General features: G+C 36.9%; 1 protein-coding gene across 2 annotated transcripts in view, besides 1 other annotated feature; it reads left to right on the top strand.

The window, feature by feature from the left end:
- The window catches only part of EPYC (epiphycan), a 41,291-nt gene that overhangs the window by 8,800 nt on the left and 12,536 nt on the right, over positions 1-19,955 (top strand). Inside the window, exons 1-2 of one of the 2 annotated variants that reach the window (XM_011538008.2) lie at positions 16,167-16,270; positions 17,911-18,085. In XM_011538008.2, coding sequence (XP_011536310.1) covers positions 17,929-18,085 — 157 coding nt within the window. In that variant the 5' untranslated portion in view covers positions 16,167-16,270; positions 17,911-17,928. Of the gene's footprint in view, positions 1-16,166; positions 16,271-17,910; positions 18,086-19,955 lie in introns of those variants that run through there. The other variant, NM_004950.5, reaches the window with a different exon arrangement.
- Positions 11,532-12,066: an enhancer, noted in NCBI's record as "OCT4-NANOG hESC enhancer chr12:91377884-91378418 (GRCh37/hg19 assembly coordinates)". NCBI's record gives its function as "activates a minimal SCP1, AML or CMV promoter by ChIP-STARR-seq in naive H9 embryonic stem cells {active_cell/tissue: H9 hESC(naive)}" and the evidence as "EXISTENCE:reporter gene assay evidence [ECO:0000049][PMID:30033119]".

The following is a 19,955-nucleotide window of genomic DNA, read 5'->3' as shown; positions in this document are numbered from 1 at the left end:
GGAAATTGTCTCTGTATTTTGTGAACACAAAGTACTTATATTAGTAATATTTATACTATTCTGGTGGCAAAAGATATGCAATACTTATCTTTATATTTAAAAATATATCCTACTTTGGCCAATTTATACAGTATATTTTAAAGTTTCATACATATGGTTTGCATACTCAACACTTTATGTTGGAAGAAGAAACTTTAACACGATCAGCCTGAATTAAATATCTTTTTCCAGAGTACGTGAAAAATAAAAGCTAATCTCTCTCTTTACTAAAGATGATCTACAGGAAGGGAGGAAAGAATTTTGCTGATGAGATTTTAATATGGTTGTCTCATTGACTTTCCATAAGATTCTTTTAAAAACAGTGTTGAACTATTTAATTCTCATCCTAAGCTACAGTATTTAAGAACCTTAAAAACTTAAGCAAAAAAAAATATACAATCATGTAGGCTCATTGGGAAAACAAATACTGATAATCTTTGCTGGTGACTTCTTTATATTTATATTATATATTATTTATGAGACCACAAACATAAGATAACTCAAATAACTAACCCTGGAAATAAGGTAATATTGTAACCATTTGATAAGGATAACTGCAGAACAGAATTTTGCCCCGAGTTTTCATCTAGTAAGTTTCTGAGTAAAATTTAATCCAGTCTTTTAATGCTAAAGGAGAGAGACTTTGCCCCTAAAAGCCCCCATTCTTTTTCTGCTTCTTCTGTTTTATCTTTACTTCTTTGAGCTGTGTCCAATATTGAGGTTTCTTTTCTCTGAAATTAAGTGATTTGATTATTAAGAATCAGAAAAACAAACATTTCCAAGTGATTACAATTAACACAATATTCAAACATCTCTGTTAGCTGTCAAAGTGTTTAAAGGGGCAAGAGGTAATATGATCCTTCTGAACTGAAAGCTGCTTTGTCAGGAATATGAGGATTGAGCAAGCTTTGCCAAATACATTTCTTCCTCATCTATTTTCAAGATAAAATAGAACTTAAGATACAGCTTCATTGCCAGGTATTCATGGTTACGGTCTTTTAGATAATTAATGTAGATCACGGAAACAAATGTGAGCACCAGGCTCATGTTTAAAGCAGAATTTCACTGTGCTTAACATATCTATATGTCAGTATGTTAAACCCATAAAAATACATCTTTAGTAACTCAGGCCAAACAGTGCAGAGCCTTTTAACGCCTTTAGAAGTCAATTGTTGCCGTAGTGGTAATACAGAGGAGTAGCTTCAAGATTAATTTATTCAACTGTGTAGAACAAATTGAGAGACAGATAAATTCAAAATTTCATTTTGTTTAATGAAAACCTTAATTCTGTGCTTGAGTAAAAGTCCAAATATTCTGGATTTCAAATGCGTTTTATTTTTAAAACAAAACAAGGAAGAACAGTAATTTAAATATTATCAGCTGAATATTATCTGCTCTAGGTCTGGGCTTTCTCAATAGGAATTGACTGGTACAATGGGTATCCTAAATTAAGTGAATAAATAGGTACAGATATTTCCTTTCCAATTTGGCTCTGCTTGAGCACATAACCATTAACACACACACTAAAGAATAATGGGAGAAACTATTGGCTTTGGGTGTTGCTCATTTCTACACCCATTTCCTCCTCATTGGGAGACAGTCTTGTCATAATGCTGAATAACCCAGGGCCTAAAGTCAGACTTCTAGATGTAAGTGCCAGGTCTGTCACACAAACTGTATAACCTTGGGCAAGTCATACAACCTCTCTGGGCCTCAGTTTTCTATTTAGAAGATACCTTTTGAGGATTAAGTAAGATAAACATGTTAGCTGTTTAATACAGAACCTGGTACATAGCAAATGTTTAATAAATGCAAGTAACTTTACCATTGAATCACTCACTCAATTAAAAGCCACTGAAGCTTATGTGCTGATGATCACAGATGCCTTAAAGGAAGGGATTCGATTTGGGCTATGATGAAGGCTAACCCCATTGTGCTTGGGTTCACATTAGATCCACTTACCAATCTTTTGCTGAGAGCCAAGAATTTGGGAAGGCAAATTAGACCAAATCTCTTCCTGTGCCTTGGCATTCTCAGTCTAGTAGTCTTATAAGTATTTTCAGCACAATAGAGGAAGTTTAAAAAGACACATATAAGATATATGTATACGAGATCTGTAGCTATCTATTGGAATGTAAGTTTTTATGAGTTCACTCACAAAATACATATGCTGAGAAATGATGTTCTTGAATCTGTTATTAGTTTTAAATCTGGCAGCTAATCTGAGATATAAAGTATTTACTCATTTATCCATCACCTTTTCTTAACAGTATTTAAGGTTACTTACATGAATAAATGCTATAATATGCACACAAATTAACATAAAAAGATGAAAATATAAATCTTAGTTCAATAATTTTATCTCAAAATATTATACATAATAAATGTATTACATATAATTTTCTATTATATTATCTGCTATATCATATCTTATATATATTACTGATCATGTGTTATGAGGTGACAAATACAAACTTAGAAAGTGAGACAAAGAAAAAATAACAGTTGGGAACATAATACAAAGCCAGGAGTCAGATAGATACATCAAAATTGAAACCATTTTGTATTATAACTCATAGAGATTCATGAAAATAGTAAAGGTTTTCTGGGCAGTAATGCTAAATTTTAGGGAACCCCTATACTTGCTCCCACTATTCCTATCTAAATTCAGGATCAGGTGAGAAGAAGAAATGGGATTCACACAGAAATAGAGCTCAAAATGTTCTATTTTATGTTGATAAAGGCGAGGTGTACCCCCTAAATTTAATGCATGACTTCAGTGTGAAGCAAGTAAGAGCTTCCTAATACAAAACTCCAGAAATAAACTATGCCATCAGTCACAGGCAATGCTGGCCAGCCACAAGCCTCGGACAAAGTCTACCCCCATAAATCTTTGTTCATGCAGGGGCAAAATGAAATGTATGCAATTGATAGTCAATTATCCCCAAAAGGGAAGGGGAACCATCTGGGGCCAGTTCCTTCTCTCAATCATCAATTAGCTTAGGAGTGAGAAAAGGGATCAACAGAGGATCTAAGAAGAGATTTGATTGTTCCAGAAGAAAGTCATAAGATGGAAACCAACTTGGTTTAGCCTCATCCAGATGTTAGTCAGTTTTTATGTCCCTTGACTCTGGTCTGTAACCTGTGTACTCAAACACAATTTGGAGAAATGCCCCACCAAAAGTTAAATTATGATGCCACATTTGACTAATATTAGAGCTGTTCTTCTCTAAGTGTGGTCCCTGAACTGGCAGCATCAGCATCACCTGGGAGCTAGTCACGAATGCAAATACTCAGATCCCACTCCAGACCTAGGGAATCAGAAACTCTACGGAAGGAGCTCAGTGAACAAGCCAGATCATTCTGATGAGCCTATGATTTAAGAAGAATTGAACTAGGAAAATTCTCCCTAATATAATGTTCCTTCTCTCAGAGTAACATTTGAGATCTTTCCGTTTTCTGGCACAGTTTGTAAATATGCAATGGTGGCAGAATCAGTCATCCAGTCTTACCTGAAGTTTCTCTTTCTTTCTGAATATTTGAAGGCTTTGAATTCCCCTTTTTGTGCTAAGACCTATCTTTCTGGCAATTGATGCTGCATTGCATATGTGTTCTATCATATGACAGACTCTCTAGTGAGCATGTATTTTCAGCCAGAGGGTTCTCCAGCCTGGATGTTATATGCCCAGTGGCTTCTCCCTTTCCTCCTGCTATGGATTTCAAGAAGTCTACCCCTCGGAAAGTTTTCTCTATTCCCCATGCTTTTTTCACCTGAAGCAGGAATTTCTAATCCCCTGCCTGTGCAGTTCTTAACAAGCTGTGAGGCCTGTCAGGAACCAGGCCACACAGCAGGAGGTGAGCGGCAGGCCAGCCAGCATTACTGCCTGAGCTCCACCTCCTGTCAGATCAGCAGCAGCATTAGACTCTCATAGGAATGCAAACACTATTGTGAACTGTGCATTCAGGGGATCTGAGTTGCCTGCTTCTTATGAGAATCTAATGCCTGATGATCTGAGGCAGAACAGCTTCATCCTGAAACCATCCCTAGTGGATAAACTGTCTTCCACAAAACCAGTCCCTCGTGCCAGAAAGGTTGGAGGCTACTGATCTGAAGAATCAACCTCAGCATATTTTCAAACTGAAGTTGCTGTTGATATTTTTGAAGTCTGTGCCCCCAGGAGCCTAGTAAAAAACTTACCACATTCTCCTCAAGACTTTGTTCAATAGTTCAATGTTCCAGACTTAATTAGTGTTTCTGTCTCCTACATCCGAGTCTGCATCACAAGTCACTTCTCTGGTGCAGTGATTCTCAACCTTGGTCACATATTTGAATCAGCTCTAGAGCTTTTTAAAATCCCAGTGCCTAAGCCATACCCTGGACTACTGAAATTGGAATGATTTGTGGATGAGACCCAGGTTTGGTGTTTGGCTTTCCTCATCTATATTTTCAGTGTCACATGCAGTTGTTTTTAAAAAATTAATATGCTTCTTAATTTTATCTCTTTACTTCTCTAGTACTGTGTCATCTAGAAAAAGAACTTTCTTTTTAAGTTATTTTTTATTTTCTTTCTGTTCCACACCTTCATTTTCAGGCATAGTTCACTACATTTCATAAATCAGTAACTTATGAATCTGCTAAAAGTAACACTGTCCAAAACATTTTGGAAATCTTCACATTTCTGAGTTGGATATTCTTAATTGGATATGTTGTCCCATCAGACTAATTTCTAAGCCAGAATTGGGACTTCACTTGTTATTGTCCTGCCTAGCCCTCCATTAATATGCATAATTTTCATTGGATCTTCCCTAATTCCACGTTTCTCATTCTCACTCCTAGGGCAAATTCTAGTAAACCCTGTCTTGAGTTTTCCAGGGACAGAGAAACTTACCCTTTGTTGGTTAATGTGTACACATATAGGCATGAATATCTCCTTGCTAATATTCAATGTGGGCTTTAAAGAGTTAAATAGCATGTATGCAAATATATATTATATACTCCATTCCTTGGCACGTTTGAGAAGAACAAAGAAATATATCTAAAAAATATTGAGACTGGATAAAATCTTTTTTTCAGCGTGTTCTCTCTAGAGTTATAATATCAAAACTCTGATTAAAGACATAAAATTGAAAGAAATTAAATCTAGGCCATTTAAGATAAAATAGTTTATTCTACGATAACTACACTGAATCTGTAATGTATAAAAGGATAGAATGGACATTGAAGAGGATCAGTAAATTTTGGAAGTAGAGAGAAAAAAAGAATATCCCAGAGGGTAATGTTGTCAAGTCTAATAAATCACTATTCAGCAGTCATCTTTTGGCAGGGTGTTTTTTTATCATGCTAATGACTGCAAAAACTCATGAGAGCTAATATATTTAAAGAGTTCGATCCCTTGGAAAAGAGTCCTTCTTTTGCCTTATGCTATTATGGAGCTGATTTATCGTTTGTACTTGTTCTATGGTCATCAACAATCTTTTGACTATAATTAGCTTCCCAAGTGGGACTACCTACAGAGAATGTGGTGGCACTAAGAGGATGAAGGTTAACCTTTAGGTTTAATGTGGTCTTTGAACTTGTTTAAGATAATTTTGCCCCAGGAGATAAAATCAGGTTTCTAAGTTAGTAAAATTTGCAAGAATTTGCCAGTGATACTGGACAGTAATAAAAAATTAACATGTAATGATTATCCTTTTCAAAGGCAATTGGCGATTACCTGGTCCTCTCTGGGATATCCTTTGTAAACACACATTTTTTTCTTATACAAAATGTGTGTAGTTACCCTGTGATAATATGTGCATCATCATTATCATTGTCATTATGTATAAATACTAGTTTTATCCAAAGAAGTTCTACAAATTAAAAGGCATGGATTTATGCCTCAATAAAGGCTGTGTTACAAGAAACAATTTGCTTTGTGTTACACTGAGAAAGATAGAAACTGAATAAAAAATACTAAATTACTCCATCAGAAATAAAGAGCTAGAGTTTTGAAGGTTCCAAATATCTTCGTTTTCAGTCCAACTTCTTTGTTTTCAATTACTGTGACTGACTCGCTCCCCTCCTCCCATCCTCATGAGATTACTGATTTCAGCCTACATTAAATTGCCTAAATTGTCTTTCTGGCATCCTTACATGGGGAACAAGGGCAATAAGGGGGTAGGGAATATGAACTGACTTTGCTATTAGATAATGTGTCTAAAGTGTTTGCCAAAGTTCCCTACCAATATTATTTGGAGACATTTAATTAGAACTAGATGACACATTTTAAGAAACTTATTAAGTTTCTGGAGCCTAAGGAGATGATGGTGAATGGAGTCTTGAATAAACTGGGATAAAGCTGAAGTAGAAACTCTTTCTGGTGACTAAAAATGGAATATTGCCATTTTCTGACAATAAGAAAGGAAGTAAGAAGAGAAGTATGTGAGCAAAGAAAAAATACTAAAGTCCCCAAAGAGACAAAGACTAGACGGTATGATTAAATGAAACTGTAAAATCAGCTCTTATTTCTTTGGCATGGAATTTTTCACTTAAACATTGCATTGTGTATGAGTAAGCATTATCTTTTAGAGTTATGAATCTATGAAAAATAACTATACATTGGGATAGATTTAAAAAAAAGCATGTACATGTTCTAAACTTGATATCCTAGCAAGTCAATACAAAATACGATTTTATGATATTTGGTGTAATCAAAAGGCCATTAACTATTTTGATATTTGACTTGCAAATATTCATTCATTACATAACTTTGTTAATTTTGACTTCAGTTAGTAAAAACTGAGATTTAACAGTAAATAAATGGAAATAAGTGAATTTACACAAATTTGGTGATATTATATTTCAGTAAGTACTACAACAAATAAGATCTAAGAACAGTTGTTTATAAAAAAGAAATCAGAGGATAAAGCAACAAAAATATGCTTTTATTTTTTCTAATGTCAATGATATGTACTAGATAAATCAACCTATAATTAGTCATCCCTTAAAATTGACAAGTATGAAAACTTTTATTTAACATTGATATAGGAGGTTTGCAAACTACAATCATGTTCATTATAATTTTTCTTACTTTTATGAGAAATAAGTATTGTGTCAGAATGAAACTTTAACCTATATCTACATGATGGGTGAGACAATTCCATGCATTCAGCTGTTTCATTTTCCTTCTGGGCACTTAGCTAAAACACATTGTTTACTTTTTCTAAGTTGGCTCATGTGGCTAGTTCTCTTCCCTTAATCTGTCAATGGATAGACAATACCAGTGGACCTTGAAGTCTCAAGCTGAAAACGGTGAAGTCCTAGCAAGAAAGAAACTTGGATCTCTGAGTAACTACATAAAGTCATAAACTTGTTTACCTGCATTAGATAGTCATGTCAGCAAGATAGAATCTCTTATTGTGTTAAACCACTGGGATTTTGGACTTGTTTGTTACAGCTACTAATAAGACTTGCCATAATATAGACATTTTCAACTTTTGCCTTATTATCCATTTCCCAGTTGTATAAAGTGAGCAATTTTTAACATTTTTGTAGATGATTTAAGCAGAAATATACTTGGCTGAGTACAGAATTCATGCTAGTTATTTTCATAATTGGAGAACATTTCATCTAGCCCATGATGAGATCCAATGAAACCTTTCTTCTCCATGTCAGATATAATCTCTTTACTGGACTGAATGGTTCATTTTCAACAAATTTAATATTTCCCTCCTCCAAACAGTCCTGACCATAATAACAAACCATTCCTCTCTGAACACAGCTTTCTAGGTTACCTCCTTAGCTTACTTTCTTTTCTTTAGCTATATCGTCATCACTAATCAGCTAGAGTCAAGAATAAAGAAGCTGCTCCTAATGGCTTCAGAAGAATCATTTCCTCTCATTGGGCATTTTAAATATCACTTTTCCATGATGAGAACAAGTGAAAGTAACTTCAATTGCTTGGCAAGGGGACCTTAATATGACTATCTCTGGCCTTAGGTATATCTACACTAAAATATGCCTTGTTTTTCCTGTTATAATAGGAACAATGGTATCCTCATAAATATCAATGAATCAATAAGGATCTCAGTGTATACATGTTTTTACTTTCTCTTTCTTCAAGGATTTCCTGGACTATCCTTATTTCCCATTTGCACATACAGGCAAAGGAAAGATTAATAAAAAATTATCCTTCCCTGACTAAATTGGGGTTTTCAGTCAAAATTGTAAGGAGTGTGACCGAGATAAAGAGGCTATAGAGAAAGAAAAGAGAAACCTAGGTGTGAAGACTGGTTGACTGTTCACTTAGAGTTAATATGTACTCAGGTAAGGCTATTACATTGTACACATCTAGGAAGCACCATTCACATAGAATACCACATAGATAGTGCTTCTCAGAGTTGTGCAATGGAGTGGTTCTACCACTAGGTGTATAATTTTTCCATCTTTCTCTCAAATACAGAGCATATCTAGCTAAAATTCTTGGCTCAGCAATAGATTCAAAGCTTGTTTCATCTAAAAAAGTTGAAGCACATCTTCTTTAGTTTCCTTTCATAATATGTTAGCATGTATAATGAAGGTCCATAGGCAGACATGGAGATGTCTGAGCCATAGCTAATGTATTTTCATACCTGCTTTCTCTATGAGATAAATAAGAAAGACACATGAAATGTGGTCTAACAATCAAAGACAGGTTTATTTTAGAGAAATAAACCTGAGAGGGGCTTCTGGCCAATTTTGGTCAGGAGTATTCTCCCTTACAGACTAAGAGTATATATTGGTTTTAGGGTGACAGGGCCCATCACAAGCTTGGAATGTTTCTGTGTGGGGGAAATTTTATGGTGTGGTTGGAATGTCTCTGGGCGGAGGGGAGGTTATCTCAGGGCTAGCATGTCTGTGGTTGGGGAGGGGTTTGGAATGTTTCTGGTCAGAGATGTTATTGTGGTTTATGGTTATGCTGACCTTAGCCATTAGGTTGATACCCTTTGAATTTAGGCATTTTTGATCAAGGTAAATTTTAAAATGACAGTGCTTGTCCAAGATGGTGATATTCCTGCTCTGTCACTCTCATGCAACTTTAACCATTTTATAATATTTTCTTACTCTTATACACAAAACAATCATTTAATGTATCAAAAATTGCCATGATTTACCCATACTGATTCAACTGTATTTTTCAGGAGGCCTAATAATTGCTAGGCATACTGGAGTAGCAGCTGGGAGTATAATGGGGAAAAAAAAGAAATATGTAGTATTTATCCCCATGGGGAGAGATTAATCAAATACTCACAGATACAATATAAAAAACTGTATCAGTTAGCTTTTGCTGTGTAACAAGCAATCCCAAATTTTGGTTACTTAAAATAACCATTTATTCAGCTCATAGTCCTGTAGTTCAGATATATGGGTTCCGATGTGCTGCTGGTTTGCACTGGGTTGACTCAGGTATATGCTAGGTTGGTACAGTGCTGGCTGGACTAGCTTGGCCTCAGCTGAAGTGGCTTTCCCCTCCCCTCCACCGTGTGCTCTCTCATCTTCCAACAGGCTGGCCCCAGCTTGTTTATATGGTTATTAAATAGGGTTCATAGAGGACAAATGAAAGTTTGCAATGTTTCTGGACAACTATCCTGCTTCCTACCATTCTGCTTCCTCTGGTATTTGAGAGCGCAGAGTATAGGGGTTGGATACAATTGGATATAGAGGAATTACTGTTTCATTGATGAGTCTAAGATTTTGCACTAGTCTATACTGACCATTTGGTTTTTGTACTCCTAGAATTGGGGTGTTGCAGGGACTGCTGCATTTTCTTACTAAGCCTTGAGCTTTTAAATGTCTAACAATATCCTGTAATCCTTTGTGAGCTTCAGGCCTTAAGGGATATTGCCTTTGATAAGAAGAGTGGTGGGGTCTTTTAGCCTGATTTGGACTGGGCAGGCATTTTTTGCCCCTCTGAATTGTCCTTCCAATACCCAGACTTCAGGGTTGATTCCTTCCTCAAGCAGGGGACAACAAATGGGTAACTTGTTCCCCATATTCATATAGATAATAGCTCCAACTTTGGCTAATATGTCCCTCCCTAATAAGGGTGTGAGACTTTCAGGCATAACAAGAAAGGCAAGTGAAAAGAGCAAATTCTGCCAATCACAAATAAGGAGGTGGGAGAAATACCTGGTTACAGGCTGTCCCAGGATTCCTCAGATGGTAATGGACATTGAGGACAGCTGTGTGGGACAGGAGATTAACACTGAGAAAGCCACACCAGTGTCCAGGAGGAAGTTAATTTCCTGGCCTTCAATGGTTAAACTTACCCAGGGCTCAGTGAGGGTGATGACATGAGCTGGTGCTTGCCCCAGACACCCTCAGTCCTGTCATTGGATCATCTAGTTAGGGACTTCTGGCCCAGAGAACCTTTGTCCTCTAGGGCAGTGCACCTTCCAGTGATTGCCTTGGCATAATGGACATGGGCAAGGGGGCAGCTTGTTTCTCGTTGGACAATCTTTTGTAAAGTGTCCTTGCAAATCACACAGATAACAAGCCCTACTGGGTGATTGGCCTGCTCCATTTTCTGTCCTCTGAACCACCAAGGTTTGTTTGTCTGAGAGCCATGACTAAGGCTGTGGCTTTTCTCTGATATCGCTTTTCCTTTTCAGCCTGTTCCTCTTGGTCCCTATTATAGAACACCAAGGTTGCCAGGTTTAATAATGCCTCCAGATTTTGTTCTGGGCCCAGGGCTCGCTTTTGGAGCTTTCTCCTCATATCTGTGGCTGATTGGGTAATAAACTTATCTTTCAGGATCAGTTGACTTTTGAGGGAGTTGGATGACAGGGGAGTATATTTTCTTAAGGCCTCCCATAGTCACTTGAGGAAGGCAGAAGGATTTTCTTCCTTTCCCTGAGTTATGGTGGACATCATTGAATAATTCATGTGCTTTTTCCTAATTCTCCTTAGTCTTTTTAGAACACAGGTCAGCAGATGTTTATGACTCCAGTCCCCATGATCTGGGTCGAGGTCCCAGTGGGGATCCATACTGGGGACAGCTTGCTGACCAGTAAGGAATTTGTCCCTTTCCAGGTATCTCCAAACTCTCAGGCTGCAGCTAAAGCCACATTCTTTTCATTAAAAGCCAGGGTTTGATCTAACAATAGCATGACTTCTCTCCAAGTGAGGTTGAAGGTTTGCCCTAGACCCCGTAGGACATCTATATACCTATCAGGATCATCTGAACACTTCCCTAGGTCTACTTTGATCTGCTTTAAATCAGAGAGGGAGAGGGGAACATGTACCTGGGTTGGGCCAAATTCCCCTCCCCCTACAGCTTGAAGGGAACATAACCGATAGCCCGGGGGTTTTTGTGGTCCCCTGGAGATTTCTTTGCTTGTTTCCTTCTGGGTGGAGGAGATTAGAGGAGGCTTATTAATATGAAGGGGAGCTGTAGGAAGGTTAGGATACGGAGGTAAGCTGAGAGGTCCTCCTGTGAGATGTAAATTGCAAGCTTTGCATAGTTGTGGATTCTCCTTCAGTGAAAAGAAAGCTTGAACATAAGATATTTCACTCCATTTGCCTTCCCTCTTACAGAAAAGATCAAGCTGCAGGATAGTATTATAATTTATACTTCCCTCAGGTGGCCATTTTTCCCCATCACAGAGAGAATATTGGGGCCAGGCCATAGTGCAGAAAAAAAATGAGCCACATCTTTTTCAGAGTTTGTGGGTCAAATTGGTCTCAATGGCTTAGGATGCATTTTAAGGGTGAGCCTGTTGATGCCTGAATGTTTCCCATTTGAAAGAAAAGACCGCCTGTGGTTTTGGTTTGTTTGTTCCCCCCACCACCAACCCAAGAACACACAATGGTCCCTGGACCCTGCTGATCGGAATAGTTGCACTCACCAATGCAGCAGCAGAAACACCAGTTTTCCTCTTAGACCACAAAGAGGACCAAGGAAGGTCAGATTTAGTGGTCCTTACCAATGCATTCTCAAAAATCTGTTAGAGTCCTAAGCGTTTTCCTGTTAGTATTGGGACCTTACCCCTGTCCTATAAAGATGTTATGCCCCAAAAATGAAGTGGAGGGCCATACCCTGAGGGAGGGATGGGATCTCCAGGGTTGGAAGAGTGATGCCTTTTGTCCTCACTTCTCATCATATGAATAGGAAGGATATCATTTCTGAGGCTCCCCATATCCTAGCTTTAGGAATAGCTTTTGTTAGGCCTGCTTGTCTGAGGAGGGATCCTAAAATTCCAGATAGTAACCCCCTCCAATGGGGCTTTGGGCAAAAATTATGTTTTTCTGATTGGTGAGCCTGGGTGCCTAAAGAAAGGAACAGAGTCCCAAAATTTATGCTAGAAATCATTCTTATAGGAAAAAATAGAAAAGCACCAGAGATGGAGTGGTTTTTAGAAGCAGGACTAGCCTCAGAGAAGAGATGTGGGAGGAAGTTTGTCTGACAGGCATTAGTACCCAGGAGTCAAGGGTCAGGATAGATAGAATAGATGGGCGAGTCTCACTTGGGCGATGTGACTTTGAGAGTTCCTCGCATGGCTGCAGGGTCAACCAACTTTTTGTTGGGACCCCGGAGCTGAATGGCTTTCCTCTCTGTCAACCCTCAGCTCAGCCCGGAAGTATAAGAAAAGCAGAAGCTGGTTTCAAGCAAACCAACGCTCTCAACTCCGAAGAGTCAGGGTTGTTAAAGAGCCCTTTCCCAGAAAGCCTGACACCCATGTCTTTAGTCTGGCAGCCGCACTAGTTGCTTTTAACTGGCCAACAGGTGCCCGGTGTTTAGCCTCTGAATTCTAAGGAAAAATAGGACAGAATAGCAAGCTAAAGGGGTCCAATGGTACTCACCGCTTGGTGATATTAGAACTGTTAGTAGTTACAACTGTAGATAACTTATCTCATGGTAGCCTTTGCTTAGGGAGTATATTTTGTGTCCATGAAACAGTATCTCTATTCTGGAGATGACAAATGCATACCTCACATTGACTACATGGCTACTAAAAGATAAAATGTAAGTGTTGGTGAGTTTGTGGAGAAAAGGGAACCCTTGCATACTTTGTTGGGAATGTAAATCAGTACAATCACTATGAAAAACAATGTGAAGTTTCCTTAAAAAATTACAAATAGAACTACCATAAGATCCAGCAAGCCCACTACTGGGTATATATTCAAAAGAAATGTATCAGTATGTTAAAGATATATCTGTACTCTCATGTTTATTGCAGCACTATTCACAAAGGCCAAGACAAAGAATCAACCTAGGTGTCCATCAATGGATGGATGGATAAATACAATGTGGTATATACACACAATGGAATACTATTCAGACACAAAAAAGAATGAACTCCTGTCATTTGAGATAGCATGGATGAACTTGGAGAGTATTATGTTAGGTGAAATAAGCCAGGCATAGAAAGATAAATACCATATGATCTCAGTGTATGTGGAATCTAAAATAGTTAACTGCATAGGACAGAGTGGAATGATGGTTACCAGAGGCTTAGGTAGTTAGGCAGAAGAGGGAAATGGGGAAATGTAGGTTGAAAGATACATAATTACAGTTAAAGAGGAGAGAAAAGAATAGTCCAGAATAGGCAAATACAGAAATTATTTGCCTAATACAAATATTAGGCAAAAGTACAACCACAAAAAGTTGGTAAGTGATTGCCTGGGGCCAGGAGGTTGGAGAGGGGAAGGAGAGAGGATGAGAAGAGAGAAGTTGGAAATGGCTGTTAATGGTTGTAGAGTTTTTTTCTTGGGTGATGAAAATGCTATAAAATTGGGTGATAGTTGCGTAACTGTCAACATACTAAAAAACATTGGACTGTATACTTTAAAAGATGAACTGTATAATATATGAATTACATCTCCATAAAGCTGTTTTTAAAAGATTCCATTCTTACTACATCTACACTAGAGGACATCCTAACTTTATATCAGTAGTCTATTGCTGTATTCCAGCTAAGAGAGGATAGTAATTTAGATAATGGTGATGATGGCAGATAGGGAGCGAAAGTAATGATATTGATAGATGTTTAGAAAACAACATTGACAAATAAAATGAAGACTTGATCATAACTTAAGCATAATGTTTGACATAGACATTTTAGATAATTATAAAGACTGGCAAACCTTCCATCATTTACAAATTCACACATTCACCTGGTGATCCTTTTATTCATTCATAAAGGTAGGAATCGAATCTGGTTTATTTGAATTTCTTAACAGCATTTTTTTCCATAACATATATATTACATTATCATTGATTTCCTTATTAGAAACTTAGCTGTAGATTAACTAAAATTAAAATATTAAAAAAAGAGTTTTATTAATTCAAACACAATGTTGAATGGCAGAAAATGGTTTATGATCCTCATAAACAGGTATAATTAACATGTTCAACAAGAAATATGTACTAAAAGGACTCAGTGGATAATGAAGCAATCAGGAAGATGTGTGATTGCTGTTTCTGAACACACCAGTTTTTCATATTTTTACCCTGAAATTAAGACAAAAAAGTAGGCTTAGTGGCAGCAATATAATTATATAGATCATTTAAATGCACTTTCTGCTAAGGGGCAAATGAATTTCATCAAAATTATTGTAAACCAAATCTTATTGTCACTTAAAATGGTTCTGAGTGTTTTTACAGAGATAATTTTCTGTGGACAACAATGGTGATTATCAGAAAATAAAAGTTTTAAATCTTTTGTCATATTTTTAATAATAACACAAATATTGCTAGTAAAAGTCCCAGTTCAATCTGATACAATAAATGTAATTGGATGATTTTCTGCAGAGAGTCTTTATTTCTCCAGGGAGCAGAAACTTAGTCTGAGACACTTCAGGGTCACTTCAACCGCTTTTACCCTGAGATTGGGTTGAGGTGATATGTTGCTTACATGGAGTCAGGGCTGTGCAGGGTGCAGAGACTGGCACAGGCCTAAGTACTTCTTCTCTTGGTAGTTATCTCTTCATACTGACATCTGCTGATATCTCACTCAGCCTAGGCCACTGTGAGCTATCCATTTGTCATCTCTGGAATAGATATACTGTTTCATGGACACAGAATGTACTCCCTAAGCAAAGGCTACCATGATATAAGTTATCTACAGTTCTAAGACCAGGTACAGAAGAGAATAAAAATAGATAACTTACTGCAAACCAGTCAACTCAAAGATGTACTCTGCTGGTACGATGTTAAGAAGACACACAAGTGCAGTGACTTTGACTGAAATCAAAGTCATACGTAGTAATGACCATTTGTATTATATTTTTAAACTTTAGGGAAATATAATGAACAGATTTAAAAGTTAATTCAGGAAGAAGCAAGTCAGAGTAAAACAAGCAGTCAAATAAAAAAGAATAGAGCATAAAGCTGAAAGAATTTATGAATATTTGTAGAAGAGGCTCAATTATGTTTACATTCAAGTATTACCAATTGTAGCTTGAGAAAAAAGACAGGGATTTTTTTCTGGTCATTTGTGTTTACGTTCAAATTTAGTTTTCTGCAACATAAGCATACAAGTCTGCCACACAGAAGGCCAGGTGGTCTTGTTTCCCTGGACTATTTTTTGTGCATGTGTGCATTGCCTCATAACTTCATATCACAGTACGAAGATGGTTGAAGAGGGGAAAAAATGCCTAAATCTCTTCTATTTAATGGTGAAAATAAATGTGTCTACAAAACAAAAGTCTCTCCAGGCATAGTATTTTGAGGTTCTTCAATTTTGCTGATGTGAAAAGGCATTCCTTTTTCTTGGTTTTCAAAGTTGTATTGCATTTATGTTTTATTTGCAAGGAAGCATGAACAAAACAATTTTTGATAAACACAAAAAGCTGTTTTGCCTCATTATATTGGATGACAAGTGAGATCTTACAGCTTCACATCAAATCAGTGGAAAAACAATTATCTGTAAAAAGTATGTGCAAACATTTTTCTTATAAAGCTAAGATTCAAGGCAACGTGTCTGGAATTTGTTTCTCCCTTTAGGCTGCCTCCATTCCATGAAACATCTGTCTCAATTTCCGCTCTTCCTGGAGCCTCCTTTGGTCTCTCTACAAATCCATTCCTTCTGAATCTGCCTCATTCTGACCTACAGATGGAAACCGTATGTCTTTCTGTTTAAGAAAATGTGCCCAAACTTCTCAGCTGGAGCTTTCTGGTCAAGCTTTATTGTATCTTCATGTATTGCTCCTAAAGTATCAAAGACAGTATAATCTGTTTTTGTTTTGATTTCATGCTTTAAATAATTTAAAGTAAGTATTAGCACATTCACTGATTTGTCTCAGAAAATCTCTAAACATAGAGCTGTGACTTAGATATATTTTGGACAAGCAAAGTTGGAAAAAATTATACTTCAATAAGTACTTGCTGATTGCCTATTATGCTTACAGCCTAGAGGTACACAGATAAAAGACATGACATACTTTACCATCCAGCAGGCTTGGAAATGCAGAAAACAAATGGAACCAATGTAATACAGCACAGAAAAGGCTGAAATAGAGAGACTCTATGGAAGCACAGAAGGATGCACAATTCAGAAATATAAACTGATAAAAGAAAGTTTAGTGTTCCTTAAAAAGAATAATTTTCATTTGTGATTTGCAATGCTTTTAAATCTATTATAAGTGATATTAAATCATAAGTGTATTCCTAAAATTTTTTGGTTACTCAAACACCTAGAAAATACCTGGTCTGAAAATATACCTGTGTTATAGATGAAAGGAATAGTTTGCAGATCACTTGGTATTAAGTAATCCAGAAATAATTTATGTGTTTCTTTACTTTCTTAATGAAAGCAAATAAAGAAGGGTGGAAAAAAGCAAAAGGCCATATTGGTGTGGTTAAGGGAAAGTCTGGGATTTCTGGGGATACCACAAGGACACTGGGCCACAAAAAGTGGGTCCTGGATGTCGCCATCCCAATTGCCTGGAGCAAATTTTCAGCCCAAGCTTACGAGACCGTCAGAGAAGTAGACATTTACTAAGTACCACAAAGAAATAGACATTCAGACAAGGGAAGAAATCTGAAAGAGAAGATTTCTCCTAAATCCAAACAGTATTCTTAAAAGCAATGATTCTATTACTTAAAATGTACAAGTTAGATAAGAGCAAAGCAGTTGTAATCTAAAATATAATATAAAAAAAAACCTTTGAATAATTTTGTAATTTTATAACTGCCTCCTAGTGTCAACGTTCTCAAAGAAGTCCATTTTAACATACCTAGATATCATTACAATATTTGTTATTTTAATAATATTGAAAACACATGAGAAATGGCATATCACAATCAAATCATAGTTTTTATGTCACTATATATTTTATTTTAGTATAAAGGATACTTTTCAGTAAAATGCCATTAGAGACAGTATAAGTCATTGGTAAGGAACAGAATATTTGAACCTAGGAAATCAAGGATTGAAAGGACAAGATAATATGTATCAATTTCTGCTCAGTTATTACCTTCAAGGGGAGTAGAATGAGAGCTGGATGGTAAAGGGGAGTTTTGAATTTACTCTGTACACTTCTGAATTAATGTGAAGCTTTCACAACATTGATGCATTCTTATAATGCTACTTATTATTAGAAAACAATAAATGAGCTTTTTTTTAAACCTATGAAATGAACAAACATATACGATATTAAAGAACAAGAAGACCAAAAAAAAAAAGGCATTGGAAACAACTTCTAAGATTTGAGAAACAAAACTAATTAAAAACAACAGTTACTAGAACCATGTGTGTTCCTCCAAGCAAGCAGGATGGTCAAACTATTGAACTTTAGAACATGAGTGTCCTCTTGTGGCAAATATGGGTACATTTTAAATTTGTGTCACTGCCACACAGAGTGACTGAGAAGTTGGCCTGAAGAAATTCTCTTTTTTTTTTTTTTTTCAGATTGAAATAGCCACAGTGATGCCTTCAGGGAACAGAGAGCTCCTCACTCCACCCCCACAGCCTGAGAAGGCCCAGGAAGAGGAAGAGGAGGAGGAATCTACTCCCAGGCTGATTGATGGCTCTTCTCCCCAGGAGCCTGAATTCACAGGGGTTCTGGGGCCACACACAAATGAAGGTCAGGTACCTCAAAGCAGAATTACAATTGAGTCCACTTTGTCATCCTCAAAACTGCACAGCTTCAACTCTACAGGGAAACCACATGACATGACCCAAGAAAAAAGTTTTGGAATAGGCTAGGTTTGAAGCATATTTATACATAGATTTTATATTCAAATATAAAGCAGTTTTAATAATTCAGCTTCGGTCTCATAAAAATGATCAAATAACCAAAGATTTGGGATGAAAATATTGTGTATCATTACTCGAAACCTGGTGGTGGAATGTATTTGTAGAACAGAGAGTAATTGATGAGCAGGATAAAATCTTTGCCTCTGAGATTAGGCCACAGCAGTTCAAGGGGATAAGAGATGATGAGGATGAAGATGATGGTAATAGTAATAATATTTTGCACTAATTGAGCATATACTATCTGTGGCCTATATGCTCAGCACTTCACATTATCTCATTGGATTATTAAAACCTCCCTGTCAGAGTGTTAATATTACTCTTCTCATTATCATGGAGAAAACCATAATTCAAAGGGGATAGTAACTTGCCAGACATCACAAAGCTGTTACATAGCAGGTTTGAAGCCAGCCTGTTCAGATTCTTGGCTGTTTATTTATTTAAAAACAGGCTTCTTCTCACTCAATCCTAAGAAGCAACAGAGAGAGGAAAATATTGCACAACATCAGACACCATGTTGCATGGCCTGCAGATGAAACCAGAGCCTTTTAGTTAATGAGAAGGAATTCTTAGTGCTACATGTAATTCTATAATATGTCCGTATTTCTTGTTCAAATGTGTCACTGTCAACCTTGGGGGTACTCAAGAGGACTCACACTGGAATACTTTTATATACACAGAGAATGGCATAGTTAGGGAGTATAGAAAAAAATAGAGAGTTCCCCCTGCAAAGGTTGAGTGAATGTAGAGTGTCTCTGTATTCCAAGTTCTGTAGACACAAAACTTAGTTTCAAATAACTACCGTTCTCATGAATATTTCTGCCTAGCACAGGAAGATAGACATAGAAACAAATTTAGAGGCAATACTGTATGTATTAATCCATTTTCATACTGCTGATAAAGACATACCCAAGATTGGGTAATTTATAGAGAAAAAAGAGGTTTAATGGATTCACAGTTCCACATGGCTGAGGAGGCCTCAAAATCATGGTGAAAGGCAAAAGGCGTATCTTACATGGCAGCAGGAAAGAGAGAAAGAGAGCCAAGTGAAAGGGGAAACGCCTTATAAAACCATCAGATCTCATGAGACTTATTCACTACCATGAGAACAGTATGAGGGAAGCCGCCCCCATGATTCAGTTATCTCCCACTAGGTCTCTCCCACAACATGTGGGAATTATGGGAGCTACAATTCAAGATGAGATTTGAGTGGGGACACAGCCAAACAATATCACTGTATTACAGGTCTTATGAGAAAAGTCTGTCCAGAACACATTGGGAGACAAAAAGAGAGGGAGGAGCAATATTACCTAAGGCATGACTAAGAGCAAAGTACAGGAATCAAAACTGAGAGTTTCTTGGACAGACAGAGGAACCAAAACATATGTATTCAAATCCCAGCACTGTGACTTGTGGGGTTTTTATAGTCTTGAGTAAGGCATTCAATATTACTGTGCCTTAGTTTTCTCATCTAAAAAAATGGGATAATAAATAATAGAACTTACCTTATAGAGGTGTTGTCAGGATTAAATGAATACATGTAGTTACTGGCCCATAGTAAACATAGTGTTAGTTATGAAAATTCTATTGATAAAGGAGTTCATGCATTTTTTTCTCTCAAAATTTTTAGTGTACAATACAGTATTGTTAACTATGAATAGTATGATATAGCAGACCTCTAGAACTTGTTCATCCTGTAT

This window comes from Homo sapiens, chromosome 12 (genome assembly GCF_000001405.40).
Source record: "Homo sapiens chromosome 12, GRCh38.p14 Primary Assembly".
Lineage (NCBI taxonomy): Eukaryota > Metazoa > Chordata > Mammalia > Primates > Hominidae > Homo > Homo sapiens.
The sequence above is the reverse complement of the archived record's forward strand: the minus strand, read 5'-3'. Positions and strand labels throughout refer to the sequence as shown.